Source organism: Homo sapiens, chromosome 2 (assembly GCF_000001405.40).
Source record: "Homo sapiens chromosome 2, GRCh38.p14 Primary Assembly".
Classification (NCBI taxonomy): domain Eukaryota; kingdom Metazoa; phylum Chordata; class Mammalia; order Primates; family Hominidae; genus Homo; species Homo sapiens.
The window spans coordinates 101,995,615-102,018,854 of NC_000002.12; the positions used below are offsets into that span (position 1 = coordinate 101,995,615).

Here is a 23,240-nt window from a genome sequence, read left to right on the forward strand (position 1 = left end):
AAATGAATACAAGGTCCTGATACTTCACTTTGATTGTGGTGCCTGCCCTCCAAGGTGTACTGTGGCAATGACCTCAGTAGCTTCATACAACATGAGCTGATTTCTTGCTCATGCTACAGCATCGTCATGGGTTAACTGCGTTGGACTATGACGACTCATCAGAGCCACTCGGGGACCCAGGTCATTGTCAAAACAGAATTTACGGAGACCAGCAGTGGGACGCCCATTGTTTTGACACAAGTGCCGGAGGGTGGAGATTATTCCTATTTATCAGAAGCAGAAGCAGGCATAGCAGGAGCAAGTGAGTGGATTGATGGATGCAGGAGGACCTCAGCCTGCTGCCCAGATGGCTTGACTGTGCCGTGCTGGCAGCATGGATGAACAAGGGCTCAGCCTGCACCATGCAGGAGAGAGCTGGCAAGAGAGCACCAGCTGTGAAATGCACAGGCCTGGAATCGGCACTTGTTTTTCTCAGTCACGTGCCCCGCCCGACTTCAAGGGTTCAGAGAAGTGAATATTGGTGAACATGAGTGTACCCACCATGTAGGGTTACCCAGTTAGCTCATTTGGGGTGGGAGGGAGGGACGCAGGATTTCAGCTCACCAAGCTTCACAGAGCTGCTCCCGCCACCAAGGAGCGAGCTGGCCAGGCATCTGACAGCTGAGAGGAGCTGGAGGGGCTAAGAATGCAAATGGAACACTTGCCCACAGACCCAGGGCAAGCCAGAGGTTTCCTCTGGGGCTTTTTGGGTCTGGTCTGTGGAAACCCAGCAAATCTGGGCTATCTTCAAGTTGAAGATCAGGTTTTCTTTTGCTGAGGGTGAGAGATTTTCCCACACAGTAGAGATAAAAATCCCTGGGTGTTTTCAGTGTTTTTTTTTTTTTTTTTTTTGGGGGGGAGAATGGCTGACTTCTTGTTACTTGGACACCCTGGACACAGGGCTTGGGACAATTGCCACCCTTGGTGCCCCTCAGAGGACAAGGTGGGCACATTTTCCAGAGAGTGGAAGATGATCTTTCAAAGCATACAAAGAAAATCCCATCTGTTTTGACATCTTAAAAACTTTGGAAGAAAATATTTCCAAAACATACATATGTATATATAGTAGTGAGTATATATATATGTGTATATATATACTGATTATATGTATTATATACTCAGACCCAGTATATACACATATATAATATATACTGCTATAATATATATACTCACTACAAATTGACGCCAAAAAGATACCTTTAAAGCTTTGCCAGGAGGAATCTCATTTGGCTCTAAAGGCCCTTTCCCACTAGGGCAGGGGAATTAAGCCTGCTGCTACATGTATTGCTGTCTGAGTCGGCTCAAATCTACCTCTCTTGCTTTCATTTTGTTTCTTTTGGGGAGATGTTCACTCTTCCAGTTTCTCACCAGCACCTTCTTCTAGCCAGGAAGAAGCCTGAGAAGAGGGGGACATTGTGTCCCCAGGGAGTGGTGGGCAGCTGATCCACACGTGCTGACCTGGGGTAGGCACTGGCTTCTGTGGAGATGTCCCTGGACCTTCCTGGTCATGAGGTGTCCTGTGGAATCTACTGCTGGCGTCTGTGACTGGGAAAACCCGAGGTCTGGTGCCTCAGTTGTCAGAGCCAGTGCTCCATCCGAGGTCACCCCGCTGTGCCTCTCCCTGGCTCCACAGGTTCTCTGCATCTTGGCCATGACCTTGTTTCTTCTGTGGCTTAGACTGTCCAGGTGATACTCAAAATGTTTAGCAACCAGCAGGGCATGAGTACCAGCCCATCAGAAAAGATGCTACAGCACCTGTTGCTGCACCTGAAGAGCTCCGAGGAGCACCAGGAAAGCCAAGGGAGCAGAAGGTGGAGAGCTCAGGGCCTTGGGGAAGTGGTTATCTACCAAGAGGTGGGGCAGTCTTCCCCCACTTGGCCTCACTGCTCCTTACTCACTGAATATCCTGAAGCTGTGGCTACAGGTCATCTTGTCTTTCATCATGGCAGCCCCATCTCAGCCCAGATCTCAGTTTACCTTCCATTCTCTCCTGGGAGTGCAGGGGAAGGTCTGAATCTCTCCCATCAGTGAAGCACCCCTTTACCTAACAGCCACACCATTATTTCCATTCTTCTTTAGTGCCCCTTACTTCACCAAGGTGGGATTCCTCCAGAGATGCAACTTGGAAGCAGAGCAAAAATTCTTCTGCATCCAGCCCTCTCTCTTTTACCTCTTGTCCCTTTGCCTTCAGGTTTCAAACCCAGAATAAGAAGCAGGACTGCCTGCCTGATTCCTCTTGTACCTTCCCTCCTTTAGCCCTGGAGCCCAAAGGGTCTTTTTCTTCTACTGACACTTCCTACCAGGAAGGAACTTCCCCTGCATCATATTCACTTCCTTTCCTCTTTCTGAGGAGGCCTTTGCTCTCTCCCTTTCCTGGGGCTGTAGTGGCAGAAGAATCCAGAATATCAAGGAGGAAAACACATTGGGAGGTAATTGCAATATTACCTTCATTGCGTCTGTGTTGCATGTACTGTCCCATCCTAGAGAAAGAGGAGTTTGAACAAAATTTAAACTGTTCTTTGTGATTCAAGGAAATCATTAGGAGCATCAATTGTTTTGTGCTTTAATGTCCTGATATACTCAGTAGGGCACAGTAACATGGAAGGGACTGCTGGTGTCTGCGCTTAAAATCCCGAAATGGCTGTGTGCTTTGGTTCTCGCACCTGCCTTAATGGTTTTCCTGTCTCCTCTGTTACTGGGCAATCAGCTGCCGCTTTTTTCAGTGTGTGTTTTCTTCTCCTAGCCTTCTCCCTCTTTCCAATTTGCCATCTGGAATCTGCTTTTGATTGAGCATTCTGTTCACCTGTTGTTGCATGAAAAACTATCCCAAAACTTAGTGGCTTAAAAATGACAACTATTTTATGATAACTCCTAGTTTCTGTATGTCACGAATTTGAGGGCTCAACTAGGTGATTCTTCTGCTCCATGTGTCTGATTGAGTTCAAACAGTGGTGCTCAGCTGGTGAATGGACTCATCTGGAGGGTCCACGATGGCTTCACTTACATGGCTGGTGCCTTTGCAGGGTTCCTGGGAGGCTGAGCATAGCTAGGATTGTCAACCAATGCCCTACATGTGGCCTCCCTAGCAAGGTGGTCTCAGGGCAGTTGGACTGTCTTCGTGGTGGCTGACTTTCCAAGGAAGCCAGGCAGAAGCAAGCACCCCTTGGAAACCAGGTGGAGGCTGCATGGATTTTTCTGATCTAGCTCAAGAGTTCACACAGCATCACTTCTGCTGCATTGTATTGGTTACACCAAGTTACAGGCCAGCCCACATTCAAGGGAGGTGAGTTAGACTCCACCTCTTGGTGGCAGAGTGGCACAGTCACATTCTAGAAGACCATGTGGGATGGGAGATACTGTTGTGGTCACCTCTGGAAAATACATTCTGCTACTCTTAAAAACTAGTGACGCTCATACAAATCAACAGAAAGAGCTTCTGAAGGAAGACTTTAAAGCTGCTTCTGTGAGTGAAATATGCTACATGCCTTTGTACCAGGATCTGATTGGCTGTCTTTCCCCTACTCAGATCTTCCTGTCCTTGTTTCTTCTGTCTTTGTCTTATTTTAGATGGGCAGGTTTTCTGGATGACTGATTACTCAAATATTTTAGGTGTTTCCCACACTCAGATTATAAGACAGAAAGCAAAATTTGTTTTAAGGGTGTATGTCTGTTAACAACCAACCGCTGCTCTAATGCCAGAGCTTCCAGTTACTAATTAACTTTATCCAGCAGGTAGCCCAGCAGAGCTGGAAGTCCAGTTCCCAGGAGACCTCAGAAGTCCCGAGTTGTGGCTCTGCCGTTGGTGGCCATGGGGACTTCGGCAAGAGAGTTGACTGAGTTCAGTGGTTGTCTGCTATGACTCGATGCTTTAGAAACTGAAGCTGTATCTAGGACTGAGGAGGCCTAAGCTCAAATCCAGATTGACTTAGAGTTCCAGGGTTTTAGACCTGCAAGAGACCTGGGAGGTCTCACCAGCCCAACCTCTGTATTTTAGAGGTGAAGAAACTGTGACTCAGAGATTGAGCAAATGACTATGTGTTTGCCTAAGATCACATAGTTAGTTAATGGTAGAGTGAAGACAGGAACCCAGTTCCAACCTCCAGCTCCATATGCTGTCACTGAGATAAAAACCTTAGAATTCCTGGCAGCCTTGAAGATGTATACGTGTGTATGCATCTGTATGTATTTAGAATTGTGTGTTTATATGTTAAGCACGCAACATTTATATTGTGTATTTTATAAAGTAAATATTTATAGAACACTTATATGTTCTATAATATGGATCTATGAATTTAGGCTTATGGATTCCATTAGGTAAAGTTGTACATATTTTTAGTATAGTAACTGGTGTTAGCTAAGTTGCCAACTACAATACCGACGAGTTCTCAGGCTGGGCTGTGGAATGGTCGCTTAGCAGGAATTCGGCAGAATGCAGATGGTGGAAGGGCTGATTTCTCATCACGTCTTCCAACTGTGTCCTTGAGCAAGCTCCTTATCTCCCTGAGTACCGGGCTCTGCTTCTGTAAAACACTGATGAGAGCTACTGCTTGTTGAACACTTTCTTTTTGCAGCACTGCTGAGCTCATTACATATGGTGTGACATCTACTCCTCCTGTAGTGCACACCAGGGTATGCCCATTTCACAGATGAGGAGACTGAGCCTCACACAGGTAATGTAACCTGCCCACCACCCTGCTGCTGGCAGGAAGGAAGGCAGGATTCCCACTTCTCTGTCCAGGTACACTGTGCTCTTCTGTATACACTTTCTAACTCTCAAAGTTATTGGAAGGTGTAGACAGACTTCTTTGGAGCTTCCCCACAGGGTCGAATATGACTAATAAATGAAGTTAAGAGGGAGGAAATTTTGGGATCCAAAATGGCAGACATTTCTAATTATGGATACTTCCCAAGACTGGCAGTGTGCATCTCGTGATGGGGTAAGCTTGTCTTCTATAGAGGATGCTGGGTTTCAGAAGACTGTTTGGGTGGGCAGATAGACTTAATGGCTTCTGGAGGCCCCTCTAGCTCCAGGTGTTGATGCTTTTACAGAGCAGAGAACGAGTGCCAAAACCAAGGATTGTGTAGGCTTGGGTTTACATCCTATTTGTCATTCCTTAGCTCTGTGACCTTGGACAAGTGACTTAATGTACCCAAGTCTATTTCCATTGCTCCGTGTTTATAATGGGGATGCTGAGCTCTACCAGACTCATGAGTTTTGTCCTCTGGAGTTGTTCAGGGTAGTGCATTCCTCTTACACAAATACCAGGCTGGGAGAATTTGAAGCCTGTGGGTTTGCCCTGCAGATGCCTAGGGCCTCACAGGTAGAGCTTCCTCATCAGTCATTTTGGAGGAGGATGGTAACTGTTCCAGGCTAGAGGAGTGGTCTTGCTGGGTGTCAGTCAGGGCAGGGTCTAATGCAGGAGGCAGGTGAAGCAAGTGTTTGTTGATGGTCCAGCCTGCTGGGGGCTTGGAATGACCCAGACTCACAGGGAATGGAATGTTGATACAGGATTTGAATGAGCGAAAACATGAGTTGAGTTGGTTGACTGAACTTGACCAACTTCTGTCCCAAGAACCACTGACTAAGAGACACTTCAGTGGTGGTTTTAGCGAGAAGGGATGTTTGCTGGCAGACAGTATAAAGAGAGCGCCTATGCCTTGGTGGAACCATCTGTATCAGTTTCTGCCGATTTGCTCCTCTGAGATTCAGCCCAATGTGGCCTAATGCCCTATTCTGCCAAAGATGGGTCTCCCTGCAACGTGGCCTCCAGGAAGTGATCTGTCTCACCAGACCCCACCAGGGATGGGAGGCTAGTGTCCAGGACATCGCCAGCTATCATTCTGACACAGCTATGCAGACCAGGAACAGTCTCAGCCTGCTGCTTGGAAGCTCATTCCTTGTCTAGCTTTTTTCTTTCCTATAGAACAAAAGCAGTTTCTGGACAACTCATCTAGGTTTTTGTTTTGAGCCAGCACATTTTTCAATAAAAGCTGACTGAAACCTGGTCATGTATTTCTCTGTATCTGAGTCTAGAAAGTCTTCCCTCTTAAAATTCTGTTATTTCCTAGGGCTTAGTTAAAAAATACATTCTATATTGTTTCACCTTTGAATTTATAAAAAATTTCCAGGTTAATTTTGATGTAAATATTTATTTCCTCATGGGTTTCAAAGAATTTATACGACATGCGTAAAACATGTTCGGGCTCCTAGGAATTCATTTTACACACTAGAAGTGACTCAGTGATAGGTGTAAAGCCTGATAGCTATGTGACTTCATTAACATTCAGCACCTGCCACCGTGTTTTTGTTCTTTGAATGACTGTGCCACCTGACTCAGAGATGAGACAGTTGCCTAAAAACTTCTGGGAACAAGGTAATGATAGAAATAGAGAAGAGTTTCATCTTCTAGGTGAATTCAGTCCAGATATATTCAAATATATTATCAAAAAAAATTGTTACTCCTTCTACATGCTGGAAAATTCCTTTCTGGAGCTATCGTTTACTTACTAGTTTCTCAATCTGTTAAAAAAATGTATTCCTGCATGTATTCTGAAGTATTCAGAGGTGAAGTTTGATGATGTCTGCAACTTTCAGGTGTTCCAGGAGAAAATATGTCTATGTCTATGTCTGTGTCTGTGTGTCTGTGTCTGTGTCTGTGTCTGTGTCTGTGTCTGTGTGTCTGTGTCTGCGGGTGTGTCTGTGTCTGTGTCTGTGTGTATGTCTAAGTCTAGGTCTAGGTCTGTGTCTGTGTCTATGTCTATGTCTATGTCTGTGACTTTGTCCCCTATCTGTGTCTGTGTCTATGTCTCTGTCTGTGTCTGTGTCTGTGTCTGTGTCTGTGTCCGTGTCTGTGTCTGTGTCTATGTGTAGGTCTAGGTCTAGGTCTGTGTCTATGTCTATGTGTATGTCTAATCTAGGTCTCAGTTTATGTCTGCGTCTGTGTCTGTGTCTATGTCTGTATAAATGTCTATGTCTGTGTCTGTGTTGGTGTCTGTGTCTATGTCTATGTCTAAGTCTAGGTCTAGGTCTGTGTCTAAGTCTATGTCTAGGTCTATGTCTATGTCTATGCCTATGCCTATGTCTATGTCTATGTCTATATCTATATCTATATCTATATCTATATCTATATCTATATCTGTATCTATATCTATGTCTATGTCTGTGTCTTTGTCCCTGTCTGTGTCTGTGTCTATGTCTGTGTCTAGGTCTAGGTCTGTGTCTGTGTCTGTGTCTCTGCCTGGGTCTATGTCTAGGTCTATGTCTACATGTATATCTCTGTCTGTGTCTGTGTCTGTGCCTATGTCTGTGTCTGTGTTTGTGTCTGTGTCTGTGTCGGTGTCTATGTCTATGTCTGTGTCTGTGTCTCTGTCTGTGTCTGTGTCTATGCCTATGTCTATATCTGTGTCTGTGTCTGGCTGTGGCTGTGTCCGTGTCTGTGTCTATGTCTGTGTCTATGTCTGTGTCTGTGTCTCTGTCTGTGTCTATGTCTGTGTCTGTGTCTCTGTCTGTGTCTATGTCTGTGTCTGTGTCTCTGTCTGTGTCTATGTCTATGTCTATATCTGTGTCTGTGTCTGGCTGTGGCTGTGTCTGTGTCTGTGTCGGTGTCTGTGTCAGTGTCTAGGCCTATGTCTATGTCTGTGTCTTTGTCCCCTGTCTGTGTCCCATGTCTGTGTCTGTGTCTGGCTGTGGCTGTGTCTGTGTCTGTGTCGGTGTCTGTGTCAGTGTCTAGGCCTATGTCTATGTCTGTGTCTTTGTCCCCTGTCTGTGTCCCATGTCTGTGTCTGTGTCTGGCTGTGGCTGTGGCTGTGTCTGTGTCGGTGTCTAGGCCTATGTCTATGTCTGTGTCTTTGTCCCCTGTCTGTGTCCCATGTCTGTGTCTGTGTCTGGCTGTGGCTGTGGCTGTGTCTGTGTCGGTGTCTGTGTCGGTGTCTAGGCCTATGTCTATGTCTGTGTCTTTGTCCCCTGTCTGTGTCCCATGTCTGTGTCTGTGTCTGGCTGTGGCTGTGGCTGTGTCTGTGTCGGTGTCTGTGTCGGTGTCTAGGCCTATGTCTATGTCTGTGTCTTTGTCCCCTGTCTGTGTCCCATGTCGGTGTCTGTGTCTGTGTCTAGGTCTATGTCTACGTGTATATCTCTCTGTGTCTGTGTCTGTGGCTGTGCTGTGTCTGTGTCTGTGTCTGTGTCTGTGTCTGTGTCTGTGGCTGTGTCTGTGGCTGTGTCTGTGGTTGTGTTTGTGTCTGTGTCTGTGTCTCTGTCTGTGTCTATGTGTATGTCTAGGTCTAGGTCTAGGTCTGTGTCTGTGTCTGTGTCTAGGTCTAGGTCTTGGTCTCGGTCTGGGTCTATGTCTATGTCTATGTCTATGTCTATGTCTATGTCTATGTCTATGTCTATGTCTATGTGCCTGTGTGTAAATAGAAAGAGAAGAAGAGGGAGAGTGAGAATAAAGCGAATGCAGCAAAATGTTAACAATGGCGAATCTACTGAAATATATACTTGCATTTGTCATACTATGCTTTCAACTTTTCAGTCTTTTTGTAATTTTTAAAAATTAAATGAAAAGGTGGAGTAAGCACTTACATCCTTTTAGGCTATATGTACTGTCTATGACCAGAAGCTGCAGACACCTGGGAATCAAAGGCAGGTAACGGTTACCTGGGCCTCAGTGCGTGCTCTACCACCTGTCCAACTCAGGGCTGTGCATCAGCTCTTTCTACCTTCCAGCATTCTTTTTCCTTCCTTTCACACTTCACACATTTTTGTCTTTTTCTTATGCCTGGTCCTGTTTTTCATCATATGCCTCTGTTTTCTTATGTTGAATGTGGTGAAACATGGTTATTTGACAAAAAAAAAAAAAAAAAAGATAGAATTCTAACTCAAATACTTGGAAGGAGCTGCCCTTGAAATTTCTTTCTTCCAGTAAGAAGGTCAACTCAGATTCCAGCAGAAATGTCAAGTTGTCTGTGATTTAAAAACTCATTTAAAGAAAGTAGGCCAGGAGAATAGTGTTTTGCTGCAAACTTCTGCAAAACTAATTTGTTTTCCCCTCTGGGCCTGCCAAAGATTTACTGTTTCCCACGCTACAGCAATTTTGGTTCCAACCTTTTTCTGAGGTTTTGATTATTGAAAACTGTCACTACTATGTGTTTGTGGTTTACTTGTCTGCAGCCACATCCTAGAGAAGTCACAGTAAAGCAGCTCTTTTGCTCAAGTCCAGGGAGAGAAACCAAGACAATTCCCTTGGCTGGAGATGGTGGTGGGGGTAGATGAGGCTAGCAGTTACTGGAGGAGGACAGCATTTTAGGATTCGTTCTACTGGAACAGGATCCTTGTTGAAACACTTCTTCTCACCCATCCAGCCATATCATTTGAAGAAGAGAGTTAACTTGAAACTCACTTTACCTGTAGAAAGAAGAGACTTGATTAGATTTCTCAAAGACTCTTCAGCTCCATAGCTCTGTGAAGCGTTAGCTACTGACTGATCCTGAATGGCACAGCCTGGATTTCTGGTGTCAAAGTAATTTTAAACATGGTTACAAACCTTCCCATAATTCCCGTAAGCCTGACCCTGAGAGAATGTGAGCATGGTGGGGCCCTTTCATTTGAGGGGAGGCTGCACGTCAGCTCCTGACTTTGAGTCAAAGTGACTTTTAGAGTCAACCAGCAGAAACTGTTTACCTGAAATAGTTGAGTATCAGAAAGAAGACTGTGAGAACACAATGCCTGACAGTACCTGGCAGGGCTCCTTCCCCTGGGATCTTTTTATAAACTCTGGAAAAACAATATATTGGGAATAGGCTTGGCTGTGCGTGACAGAAAGCCTGGACACATAAAAAAGGTAGTCCAGGGTGGTGGGCGGCTTCACGAAGCCACCAAGGACTCAGGTTCCCCTCTTACTGCCCTATTGCATTCAGTGAGTGGTCTGTACCTTGTAGTTCATGGTAGTGGCCACAATCCAGCCACCACATCCACACTGAGCAGCAGGAAGGAAGATTAGTGGAGACCTCCCAGGGGGATCACATGACACTTCCACTTACATCTCATTGATCCACATTTTGTCACATGGCCACTCCTTGTTGCAAGGGATATGATGGGAAATGTCTGTGTATAGAGGGCCATGTGCCCAGGTAAGATTCGGGGGTTCTATTATTGGGAAAGCAGGGAGGACAGATATTGGGAGAAGAAACTAGCAGCATCTGTCATAGAAGGTGTATTTTCAAAGAGCAAGGGCTTTGGAATCACCAGTGCTGGGTTTAAATTTCAACATCTGCTTACTAGCTGTAAGATCTCGGCCAGGCCTTTTAACCCCTTTAAACTCTTATAATACATCCTCTGTAAAATCAGCATGATACTCAGTTTGTGGGGATAAAATGCAAGAATGAATGTTCAATATTTGGCACAATAGCTATTGTTATACACTAGTCCCTAAAACACCAGCTTTGACTTCATTTACTTATCCTGATATATGGTATTGGTTAGCTACAGTGTATTTAAATTCCTACTTCTTTCATGTTCTAATGGTGCACTAATGAGTCTGGCTTGGACCAGTATAGTTGGGGATGTGATAAGCTAATGCGTGTCCAAGGAGGACACAGCAGCTTGGTGGATGTTTATGTGACCTTCATCTGGCAAACCTGACAGTATGGTTAGGGGTAAAGTCACAGGAACTATTTGTGCTTCAGAAACTCGTGAAGAATAGTATTGTGTAGAAACAGAGTTTAAGGGAGAAAGCTCCAGGCTAGATACATAGCTAAGGGGAATATCTCAGGTCACCAGAAGGGGGAGCTCAGACTGTAACTCTGAGTCCTTGGACTCAGGGTTCCCCACTCACGAGGGAGGGTTTCTGGAGTGCGAGGGTCGGTTCCTCAATGCCGCAATGCCGCCCTGGATTTACTGCAAGTCATTCCCAGAGATATCTGTGCAAGGAGCAGGGAACAACTCAAGGTAAAAGTGGCTGGGAATTTTTCCCCTGGATTCATTCACAACTCCTGCCGTGGGCAGGCTTTTAGTCATAAGTATTCCCCGGTATGTTCTAGTGTGTGGGCCATGAGGGCTGTGAGCAAGACCAGGGCTCTGCCCCAAGGTTGTCACCATCCTTGCGGAGCCAGAAGAGTCAGGCATGGCAGCTGGCACGACTGCTCCCACTTCCGGCCCTGCCGATGGCCGGGTGGGGCATTGACTTGCTGTGTCGGATGGAATGTGAGCAGACAAGAGTGAGTTAGTTCCCAGTGTGGCCTCGTGTGTGCTTTTGGCCGCATCGTTTCCAGTTTCGCCATCCCCAAAGAGGATCATCTCCCAGGAAGCTTACTGGTCCAAGGAGGATGAGACACCCATGGAGCAGACTTGGACCCCATCTGCCGCTCAGAGCCAGGCCTAACCCTGCCAAGTTTAGGTTAACCAACTTCCATCTTGCCCACAGACTTGTGAGCAAGAGTGAACGACCGTTGTTTCACACCATTCAGTTCTGGGGTCGTTGGTTTGTTAAGCAGCATCGTTGTGGCCGTGGTTAGCAGACACAGGGAACACTTGTGATAGTGTGAGAAGGTCATCAGGGAGACGAGGAGGGCATCTGACACTCCAGTCTTTGGGGGGCATGGGGGAGGACTGCTTCATAAACTTGTACAAGCTATTTCTGTTTTGGATTTCTTGTTGCTTTTCTCCCTGGGATGCTGTAGACCAGAGTGTTAGCAGGACACCAAATCTCTTGGCGCATGTCAGAGTTGTATGTAAAACAGGAGTTAATCCGTAGGGGATATAGGGAAAACTCTCTGACAAGTGAAATATGAGGACTCTTGGGCTTTGAGTGATCCATTAACTCACTCATTCATTCATTCAAAAAATGAGAGTTAGGGACAGAACTGTGAATAAGATAAAGCAGGGTTCTGTCAACCAAAAAGTATCTGACAGTCTTAATAATTTAGAAGCTTATTTTGCCAAGATTAAGGACAATGCCCAGGAGAAAAAACATGGAATCACAGAAAAAGCAGTCTGTGGTCTGTGCCTTTCTCCAAAGATGATTTTGAGGGCTTCAATATGTAAAGTTTTTCCCCTATTGAAAAGCAGGCTGGAGGGCAGAGAGGGAGGGTGCAGTCATTACTGAATCCATGTGTTGCAAGGGAAAAGAAATAGGTAGGGAATAGTCAATTATATTCCTCTTATACTCAGTAAATCTGCTCTTCACATATGATAAGGTAAACATAGAGTGGCTACCTGTGGAGAATTTTTAAAATCTTTTATCTGTACGCTCTCTGCTTAGGAACAAAAGGAAAGGCAGCTTCTTGCAGGACTCAGACTTCAGCTTATTTTTTTCCTTTTGGCAGAGTGAATTGGGGGTCCCAAGTTTTTATTTTCCTTTCACAGTCCTTCCATCAGTGGAGCCTGAATTCTGGAGAGGGGAGACAAGGCTGATGATGAATGCCACAGAGAATGACAGGGAAGGGAAGGAAAACATGGAGTATTGGGATTAAAGGTGGTGCAATTTTAGATAGGGAGGTGAGGGAGACCTCACGAAGAAAGTGAAGTCCGAGCAGAAAGGGCACTGGCAGTGGCCTTAGCTGAGGAAGCAGCATCTCTGGCCAAGGCGCAGGAATGGCTAAGGGAGGTCTCTGCAGAGACAGCAGCTTATGGGGCAGAGCCCCTCTGCCAAGCACGCCTCTAGGTGCTACAAGGATTCGACTTTAGATATGTTCAGTGAATATAGCTGCAGAGAAACAAATCCAAAAATTTTGAGTTTTGTTCTTAAACAGAGTAGGCCAAAAGGTTCCCATTATCCAGTGAAGCTTCCAGACCCTGCCCCTACCCCGTCTTCAAGGGATTCTCTCTGCAGGGTTCTTGGTTCCTGGTGACACCTCTGTTTCCTCCCCTAGGCCACGTGCTGCTGGGTCTCAGTCCTCCACTTCCCGTGTCCTCTGGAAGTTGTCAGGAGCAATGTTGCGCTTGTACGTGTTGGTAATGGGAGTTTCTGCCTTCACCCTTCAGCCTGCGGCACACACAGGTTAGAAGTAAACCTTTCAGATGCAAAAAGGCTTGCCTGTAGCTTCGCTGGGGAAAGATGTTATCTAGAGAAGTTTCCTTGTCAGAAAGCAAAGTGTGGGCCGAGCTCGGTGGCTGCCGGCTGTAATGTTAGTACTTGAGAGCCCTAGGCGGGTGGATTGCTTGAGCCCAGGAGTTTGAGACCAGTTTGGGCAACATAGAGAGACCCACGTCTCTACAAAAAAAAAAAAAAAAAAAGTAGTTGGGCGTGGTGGTGCGTGCCTGTAGACCTGGCTACTTGGGAGGCTGAGGTGAGAGGAGTGCTTGAACCCAGGGAGGTTGAGGCTGCAGTGAGTGGAGATTGCATCACTCCACTCCAGCAGGGCAACAGAGTGAGACCCTGTCTCAAAAAAATAAAAAAGGAAAAATTAAAAAAAAGAAAAAAGAAAAGAAAAGGAAAGAATGGTGCGAATGTGCTTGTCAAAGAGCAAACTGAAGAAGTGACGTGTTTGCCCTTAACAAAGTTGCCTTTGGAGTTTAACCATACGACGTGCCAGAACTAAACTTTTACCATCTAAACTCAGCTCAGATTTACTTTTAATGATGAGAAATCAGCCAGTGAAAACTATGGCCATAGTTTTTAATCTTTAATTTTTTGTCACCGTAGAAACCTGATTTAACTTTCTTCACAAAACATAAGTTGGAATGGATAGTAGCACTGAACTTGTTATTTGGAAATTTTGAAAGTATAATAACGGGGTAGGGAGGGAGTTTAATAGTACCCCAGGGTGTAGGTCTTTTTGTTAGGGACAAATGACATCTTTCTCAAATGTGCTCCAGGTTTCCCTGCCAGAATCAGGATCAGTCCCAGGTGCAGGGAGGTTTTATGATCTGAGCAAGTTTTGGACCCAAAGCCTGACCATGGGCTCTCTGTCCTTCAGGGGCTGCCAGAAGCTGCCGGTTTCGTGGGAGGCATTACAAGCGGGAGTTCAGGCTGGAAGGGGAGCCTGTAGCCCTGAGGTGCCCCCAGGTGCCCTACTGGTTGTGGGCCTCTGTCAGCCCCCGCATCAACCTGACATGGCATAAAAATGACTCTGCTAGGACGGTCCCAGGAGAAGAAGAGACACGGATGTGGGCCCAGGACGGTGCTCTGTGGCTTCTGCCAGCCTTGCAGGAGGACTCTGGCACCTACGTCTGCACTACTAGGTAAGTCTCCCTGTGCGGGGCTGGGGAGGGGATCCTGGCAGGATGGAGGCTTGTGAGGGTCTTCAGTCATGATCCGGATCTCAGAATCCAGTGTACAAAATACAAATCCAGTGAATCCACATTGCATCCCGTTTGCTGTTCCTGACACCCCCCCCAACCCTACAGTCTCATTCTGTCTCCATTTAGTCTTTGCTCAAATGCCACCTCTTTGGAGACAACGTCCCTAGCCATTTTAGCTGACACCGCCCTCTGTCACTCTCTCCTTACCCTGCTGTAGTTTCCTTGCGATAAGATTTTCCCATCTGACACATTTGTGTGCGCTACTGTATTTAATGTTTGTCTACCCATTAGAATGTAAACTCTGCAAGGGCAGGGACTTGGTCTATGTTGTTCACTGTTGAAGCCACATGGTAAGGAACCAAGAAATAGACATAGAATAGGATTTTACTCTGAATAGGATTTTAGAGCTGGGTGAGACCTTAGGATTAAATTAGTCCAACACTTTGGGCGGCCGAAGAGGGTGGATCACGAGGTCAGGAGATCACGACCATCCTGGCTAACACAGTGAAACCCCGTCTCTACTAAAAAAATACAAAAAAATTAGCTGGGCATGGTGGCGGGCGCCTGTAGTCCCAGCTACTCAGGAGGCTGAGGCAGGAGAATGGCGTGAACCCAGGAGATGGAGCTTGCAGTGAGCGGAGATCGAGCCACTGCGCTCCAGGCTGGGCGACTGAGCGAGACTCTGTCTAAAAAAAAAAAAAAAAAAAATTAGTCCAACTGCTCGTTGTAAGGATGAGGGAACCAAGCTGGCTTGGAAAGTTCCCCAGGTGGTGCGTGGTAGAGCTGACTCTGGAGCCCGAGTCTCCTGACCCTGGGTCCAGTCCTCCTCCCTCTTTGTCCTGTTGCTTTCTTCCCCTTTAACTGTAGAAAAAATACACATAACAAAAAATTTATCATCTTAAACAGTTTTTAGTGTACAGATCAGTGGCACCATCACCATTATCCATCTTTAGGAGTTTTTCATCCTCACAAACTGAAACTCTGAACCCATTAAACAATAACTCCCCTCTCTTCTTCCCTCCAGCCTCAGGCAACCACCACTGTACTTTCCGACTCTATGATTTTGACGACTCTAGGTACCTCGTTTAAATCGTTTAAGTGAAATCAGTCTTTCTGTGACTGAATTATTTCACTTAGCATAGTGTTTTCAAGGTTCGTTCATGTTGTAGCATGAGTCAGAGTTTCCTTCCTTTATGAGGTGGAATATTATTATTCCGTTTTATGTATGTACCACATTTTGTTTATCTATTTATCCATCCAGGGACACTTGACTTGCTTCCTCCTTTCAGCTATTGTGAATCCAATATGAACATGGATGTGAAGATATCTGTTCAAATCTCTGCTTTCAGTTCTTCTGGGTATAGACCCCAAAGAGGAACTGCTGGATCATCTGTTAATTCTATATTTAATTTTGAGGAACTATCATACTGTTTTCCATAGTGGCTGTACCATTTTTCATTCCCAACAACAGTGCCGACACTCAATTTCTCTACATACTCACCAACACATGTTATTTTCTATTATTTTTGATAATAATCATCCTAATGGGTGTGAAGGGGTCTCTCATTGTGGCTTTGATTTCCACGTTCCTAATGATTAGCGATGCTGAGCATCTTTTTGTGTGCTTATTAACCATCTGTGCATCTTCGCTGGAGACACAGACATATCTCCTTTATGGACTCTAAGTCCTTTGCCCATTTTAAAAACTGCATTTTGCTGTTGTTGTTGAGTTGTAGGAGTTCTTTACATTTCCTGGTTATTAACCCCTTGCCTTATCAGATATATAGTTAGAAATATTTTCTCCTGTTCTCTAAGTTGCATATTCATTCTGTTCATAGTGTCATTTGTTACACAAAAGGTTTTAATTTTGATCAAGTCCAGTTTATCTATTTTTTTCTTTTGTTGCCTGTGCTTTTAGTGTTAAGAAATCATTGCCCAATCCAATGTCATGAAGGTTTTCCCCTTTGTTTTCTTCTAAGAATTTTATAGTTTTAGCTCTTTTGCTTTTTGATCCATTTTGAGTTAATTTTTGTATATGGTGTTAGGTAAGGGTCCTGCTTCATTCTTTTGCATGTGGATATCCATTTTCTCCAGTACTATTTGCTGAAAAGACTGTCCTTTCCCCATTGAATGGTCTTGACATGTCCTACTCCTTCTTGATGGATGAAGTTTTAGGCCTAGTGTTGGTGATCTTAAAAAGTTTCTTGGCTTCGTTCTTCTGAACTAGGACAACCCTCAGCTTGATTGGGAACTAGTGTTTTGGCCTCTCTCTTCAGCTGCTTCATCTGTTCCTCCAATAAAAACTTCCTTGGCTTTGTTCTTCTGAACTAAGACAACCTTTGGCTTGATTGGGAACTAGTGTTTTGGCCTCTCTCTTCAGCTGCTTCTTCTGTTCCTCCAAAGGCACTGCTTGCTCCTTCCACCAGCTGGCTTCAGAGTCTCCAGATTTCATAAACTCATTTGACTTAAGAAGGACTGTACCCAGGAATATGTACATTTAGAAAAAGAACCGGAGAAGTGAGATTCTTAGCACAGTGGAAGTACTGGTGAATGGAAAAATTTCAGACCACGTCATCCCCAGTCCTAGGCTGGGTGTGTGTGTGGCAGGGTATGTGGGGGGTGGGAGGAGATATGAGGTAGAGGGTGCCCTCTGTGTGTGTGTGTGTGTGTGCATGTGCGTGCATGTGTGAAATTAAGAATCTTTTCAAATTAAACCCAGCTTGACACTACCATCCATATGTCTAGCCCCAACTATAAGCAATTTAGGGACAGGTTTAATCCTGTCAATGAACCTTGCCTAAGAAGCAGGCAAACCATCTTCTATTCTTATGCTAGGAAAATGTGGATGCCTGGTTTTACAATAGCTATAAATGCATATTTCTTCTTTCTTTTCCACAGTAAAAATTCTAATTTTCTCTAAGGAGTACTACTAGGAAAACTTCATAGCATAGTAAGAAAACATGAAACCTGAAGTCAGAAAGAAAGATGGGAATCTTAGCTCTCTCATTTCCTATCTGGTGGGACCTTGGGCTTATCACTTGACTTTTATGGGTGTTAGTTTTCCTGTAAAGAAGTTTGTTGAGAGGGTTATGTGAGATCACAGAATGTGAAGGAACTAGCGTGGGGTCTGCCATGGTAGGTGGTCAATATATACATAAAAATTCCCTCTCCTTCCCAAAAGGCAATCCTCATGACTACTGAAAGTGAGACTGTGCAAAAATCAGGGAGATGTGAGCTGAGTTCTGTTTGTCTTAAAGTTTGCTTTTATGATCAATTTTTGTAGGAAAAAAAAAGCTGAGATTGAGGGGGCAGTGGAAATCCCAGTGTATGTCAAACTTTCTTTGCATGATGGGAAGGTTTACCTGGCTGACCTTTAATACTCTTTGTCAACTGTAAGATTGGGATTCTAATTGAGTGAGAATCACCAGCAGTTGCCATAATACTCTTTAGCGTTGATAGTCATGAGGCAAGAGACTGCCCTGTTCTCATGATTGTTTAAGACCTTGTGATCTAGAACCACGTGGTGAGTCAGAGTAGGCAAGGATGCAAGCCATCAGAGAGGCCAAGATTTGAGCAGTAGCTGCCTGGGCCTCCTTGCTTGGTGCTCTGCAAATAAATGCCTTACTTTCTATCACTGCAAAAAAAAAAAAAAAAAAAAAAAAAAAAGGAAAGAAAGAAAAGAAAAGAAGGAAAAGAAAAAGAAAAAAAAAAAAAAAGAGAAAGAGTAGGCAGTCAAGGTTATGCTGCTGTAACAAATAGCTCCTAAATCTCAGTGGCTTAAAATAACAAGGGCTTATTTCTTACACATGCAACAGGTCCATTGTGGGTTTGCAGACAGTTAGGGACTTAGGCTGAAGGAGCAGTCACAGTCACTATTTCAAATGTTATTGGTTGGTTGCTAGAGCAGGAAGCCTGCTTTGGAGGGTCTCTCATGGCTGTTACAACTTTCATGTAGAAGGGCCACACATATAACTCATGAGCTAGGAAGAGTCCCCACAGTGGGGACGAGGACATGTGATACACCATGTGCTCAGAATAGGGAGAACTGGGCCTATTTGGTGAGCAGCACTACGAATGACTATCACGCCTTTGCCATGGGGGTGCCACACTACATGGGGAGTGCAAGTGGTGATCAAATTGCCCCTCACCCTTCTCTTTCTTTTGAGTTATTTTTATGAAGTTTCTTGCTCAAGGGGAATTACCAGATCAATAATGTGAACAGCCTTGTAACTTTCAATATGTCTACTAAGCTTGGTTTCTGAAGATAGTACTTATGGGTACTGAAGATAGATTTATGGGTTTTCCCAGAGCCTTGCTGGGCTTCCCATTTTGGTTTGACCTCTTTGTAGCTGTACAGCCCACTTAATTTCTGTACACCTACCTTTTTCATATAAAAATGATATAATAGTAATTCCTACTTCATGGGGGCTGGACTATAAGTGAAATAACGTGTGCAAAGTACACAGCACAGGGTCTGGCCTGCATCTACTCGCTGCTGGCTACCTGCTGTGTGACTGTTACTCAAGTAGGCCCAGGTCTTTAGATTTGTCCTCAGTTGCCTTTATTCAACATGTAGTGACATTACGCATTTTTCAAGGTGAGAGTTAACATTCTGTATTTCTTTATGCACAAAATATAATATTTGTTCATCTATTTTCCCTTTTTAAGCTAAATATAAACAGATATTGGCTTCATATATTTAAATTAATTCTTCTTACTTTCAAGTGGTAAGCTTTTATCACATTTCTTTCACCTTTTTTTTACATTTTGTTACTTGTTTGGATATGGATGGTTTAGATTTTGCTGTGCAAGTAATTTTTACCCCTATATGTAAAACTCGTCCTTATTGTCTCTGTCAAAGTCTCATGTGTTTTAGGTAGCCAGAAATTTAGCTGAGATAATTATATTTTTATATTTTTCTACTTAAAAGAGTAGTTTTAATTACTGTTTTCTGTCCTCCATCCATTTCCCACAAGTTTCCAGCAAGGTTTTCCTCTTCCCTTTTTCCAGCTCTAAGGTCTTGATAGAATTATGGCAGTGAAATAATGATTAGGCTAGTAAAATAATAATAATAATAATAATAATAATAATCATATAATAATAAAGCAAACTTACCAAGTTAATTTCCCCATGCAGTATTACAAAAATCTTTTATGGGTCTTACACTAAGTTTCCAGCAGTTTTCTAAAACTAGACTTCAGTTGGTAAATCATTCCCCAAAGGAGCAAAGGGAATATTCCTTTTTACGGAAACAATGGCTCTTGGGAAACAATCTCTGCATGTGGATATGGTTTCCTGGATCATGAAGTTGGAGTATGCGGGGGCTGGGCTCAAGGAGCTCCAGAACCTGGAAGGCATAAGCCCTTTTGAAGAGGACTTGGGGATTTCTTAATGAACCTTGGTGGCATTAGAATCGGGCTTGTAGACAGTCCTTTGTGAAAAACACAGAATATGCTTTTTCTGTACAATTATGTTACGACACTTGTTGCCCCCCAAGTGTTCGAAAAGATCAGGGACAGAAGTATTGCAATATAGATGTTCCTCGACTTACAATGGGGTAAATACCAATAAACCCATTGTAAGTTGGAAATAGCGTTGTCACTTAACTTACCACTTAACACTTAACTTACCCAACATCACAACTTAGCCTAGTCTTCCTTAAATGGGCTGAGAATGCTTACATTAGCCTACAGCTGGGCAAAGTCATCTAACACAAAACGTATTTTGTAATAAAGCGTTGAATATCTCATGTGATTTATTGAATACTATACTGAAGTAGGGTTTCTATTGAATGCTTGTTGTGTTTGCAGCATTGTAAAGTCAAAAAATCCTAAGTTGAACCATCTTATGTCGGGAAACCATCTGTACTAATCCAGAAAATGCAGATGCAGATTTTAATAGAGTTGGGGAAATGATGCTTAATTTCATTTAGCTTTACTTTTATTTTGCCTTGCCATTTATCTTTTTTTTCCCTTTTAAATCAGAAATGCTTCTTACTGTGACAAAATGTCCATTGAGCTCAGAGTTTTTGAGAATACAGATGCTTTCCTGCCGTTCATCTCATACCCGCAAATTTTAACCTTGTCAACCTCTGGGGTATTAGTATGCCCTGACCTGAGTGAATTCACCCGTGACAAAACTGACGTGAAGATTCAATGGTACAAGGTACGGCTTTAAAAAATGCCATTTTACTAAAATGTGTTTTCTTTTTTTACTAGCCATAAAAGAAAGACTTAAAATATCGATTTTCTGAAGACAGTGCACACACACACACGCACAAACACACACATGGTTTGCCTTTCATATCTGTGAGTTCCACATCCTGGGATTCAACCAACCTGGGATTGAAAATATAAACAAATAAACAAATAAAATAACAGTACAATACAAATAATACAAATAAGAAACCAACACAGTGCATCATCTACTGTCACATGCTGCATGACAAAGTTTCAGTCAACAGTAGGCTGCATGTACAATGGTGGTCTTGTAAGATTATAATGGAGCTGAGAAATTTCTATTGCCTAGTGACATCATAGCTGTCTCAACATCATAGTGCAAAATATTACCTTTTCTATGTTTAGATATGTTTATATGTACAAAAACTGACCACTGTGCTCCAATTGCCTACAGTATTCAGGACAGTAACATGCTGTACAGGTTTGTCGCCTAGGAGCAGCAGGCTGTATCATGTCACTTAGGTGTGTAGGAGGCTCTACCATCTAGGCCTGTGCGAGTACTCTCTATGACGTTCACACAACAAAGAAATCACTTAAACTGTTTCTCAGAATTATCCCATTGTTAAGTGACACATGACTGTATTTACACAGGGCATTTACATTGTATTAGTAATCTACAAGTAATCTAGAGATGATTTAAAGTATATGGGAGGATATCCGTAGGTTATATGCAAAGATGACACCCCTTTATATAAACCACTTACGCATCTGTGTTTTGGCACCTGTGGGGAATGTTTGCTGAAACCAATCCCCCAAAGAAACTGAGGGATGACTGTATTTTAAAGAATTTAAAAGGGCCGTAATTAATATGTTCTATTAGTCCTTATGTGGGTTGAGTAAAGGTACTTGAAATAGTGATTTGTGAAGACAGAGTACATAACAGCTGAAGGAAATAACTTTTTACTGTAATTTGTCTACAAAAATGTAGAAAAAAGCTTACATAACAATTTTATAGACATATTAAAGGAGTTTTTTTAAAAAGTACATGACAGCTGGGCGTGGTGGCTCACACCTATAATCCCAGCACTCTGGCAGGCCAAGGCAGGTAGATCACCTGAGGTCAGGAGTTTGAGACCAGCCTGGCCAACATGTCAAAACCCCATCTCTACTAAAAATAAAAAATTAGCTGGGCGTGGTAGTGGGTGCCAGTAATCCTGGTGACTCGGGAGGCTGAAGCAGGAGAATCACTTGAGCCCTGGAGGTGGAGGTTGCAGTGAGCCAAGATCACGCCATTGCACTCCAGCCTGGGAAACACAGTGAGACTCCATCTCAGAAAAAAAAAAAAAAAAGCACATGATAGCAAACTTTTGGGTTAAGGGAGCAAATATGAACACAATTTATTCCCTTGTCTGGTTGAATAGATGTTATTTGATGTGCTCATTGCTCCTAGTGAGAACATCAGATATTGTCATTAGATATTGCTTATGTAGACCGGGGTTGGAAAACCATGGTTGGGCCCTGGAATCAAGTTGTCTCCTGGATTTGAATGGCTCACAAGCCAACGATAGTTGTCACTTTTTTAAATGTTGGAAAAAAAGTAAAAGAAGGATATTTTATGATGTGAAAATCACATAAAATTAAAATTTCAGGGTCGGTAAATTAAGTTTCACTGGACACAGCCACATCCTCTTGTTGTAGTACTGTCTGTAGCCGCTTTCACATGGCCTAGTTGTGATGGAGACCCTGCAGACTCCAAGATCCAAAATACTTCCTATTTGGCCCTTTCCTGAAAACATTGGTCAACTCCTGATAGAGACCCTAGATTGATACTGAAAAGTACAGTTATTGGCTTAATCATTAATGAGAATTAACCCTTTAATTGATAATAGGTTAAGTAGTTGGCTGGTTTGTAACTACAGCATCTCTATATAGGATATTGATTTAATATTAGAAACTTTGAAATGATTTTCTGAAAGTAGAGGAAAGTAGCCAGCTCCTATGAATAAGCTGGCTGAGCTCTAGAATGCATTCTCTCTCTCTCTCTCTTTTTAATAGAGATAGGGTCTCACCATGTTGGCCAGGCTGGCCTCGAACTCCTGGGTTCAAGTGATCCTTCCACCTCAGCTTCCCACAGTGCTGAGATTATAGGTGCAAGCCCCCAAGCCCAGCCTAGAATGCATTCTCTTTTGGTTTGGGAAAAGCATAAAGAGGACAAATGAAAGTTTTTACCTGGAGAGGAAAGAGCACAGGCTCTGGCGTCAATGGGTCTGGGTTTGAAACTCTGTTCCTTCTCTGATCTGTTGTGCAGCCGTGGCCGAGTGACTCCACCTCTCGAACCTGTTTCCTCTGTAAAGTGGCAATTAATAACTTTCACCACCTGGGATTGTTTCAAAGATTAAATGGAATCATGTGTATGAAGCACCCGGTGCAGTGCTTGACATATAAATGGTGCTCAATAAATGTGCATGGACAAAGATGTCATGGTGATGCTTAGTAATATTTATTCCCTTCATAATAATGATACCTATTACTGCGCATGTACTATATCCAAGCCTGTTCTAAACTCCCTGACATGCAACCCGATGAAGTAGGAACTGTAAATATCCCCCCTTTTTACAGTTAAGGACCCATAAGGATGTTCCCAAGATCACACAGCCAGTAGATGGTGAAGTCAAAACTCAAACCCAGGAGGCCAGTTCCCATACACCACTGGAATGACTGTGGTGCTGGGCTCTATTTGGCATTTTTCATATTTGACTACTCATGCTTAGAACAATGAAATATCTCCT

At 43.7% G+C, this 23,240-nt stretch overlaps 1 protein-coding gene across 11 annotated transcripts in view; it reads left to right on the forward strand.

The window, feature by feature from the left end:
- Positions 1–23,240, forward strand: part of IL1R2 (interleukin 1 receptor type 2) — a 36,585-nt gene that overhangs the window by 3,655 nt on the left and 9,690 nt on the right. For 4 of the 11 annotated variants that reach the window (XR_923024.3, XM_011511801.3, XM_047445800.1 and 1 more), the window contains exons 1-4: positions 10,860–10,978; positions 12,901–13,028; positions 13,948–14,212; positions 20,257–20,437. Coding sequence is in view for 9 of the 11 variants with exons in the window: in XM_011511801.3 (XP_011510103.1) it covers positions 10,911–10,978; positions 12,901–13,028; positions 13,948–14,212; positions 20,257–20,437 (642 nt within the window). In the remaining 2 variants the exon portion in view is untranslated. Of the gene's footprint in view, positions 1–3,346; positions 3,503–3,549; positions 4,710–6,357; positions 6,414–10,859; positions 10,979–12,900; positions 13,029–13,947; positions 14,213–20,256; positions 20,438–23,240 lie in introns of those variants that run through there. The other 7 variants (XM_006712736.4, NM_004633.4, XM_006712734.4 and 4 more) reach the window with 4 other exon arrangements.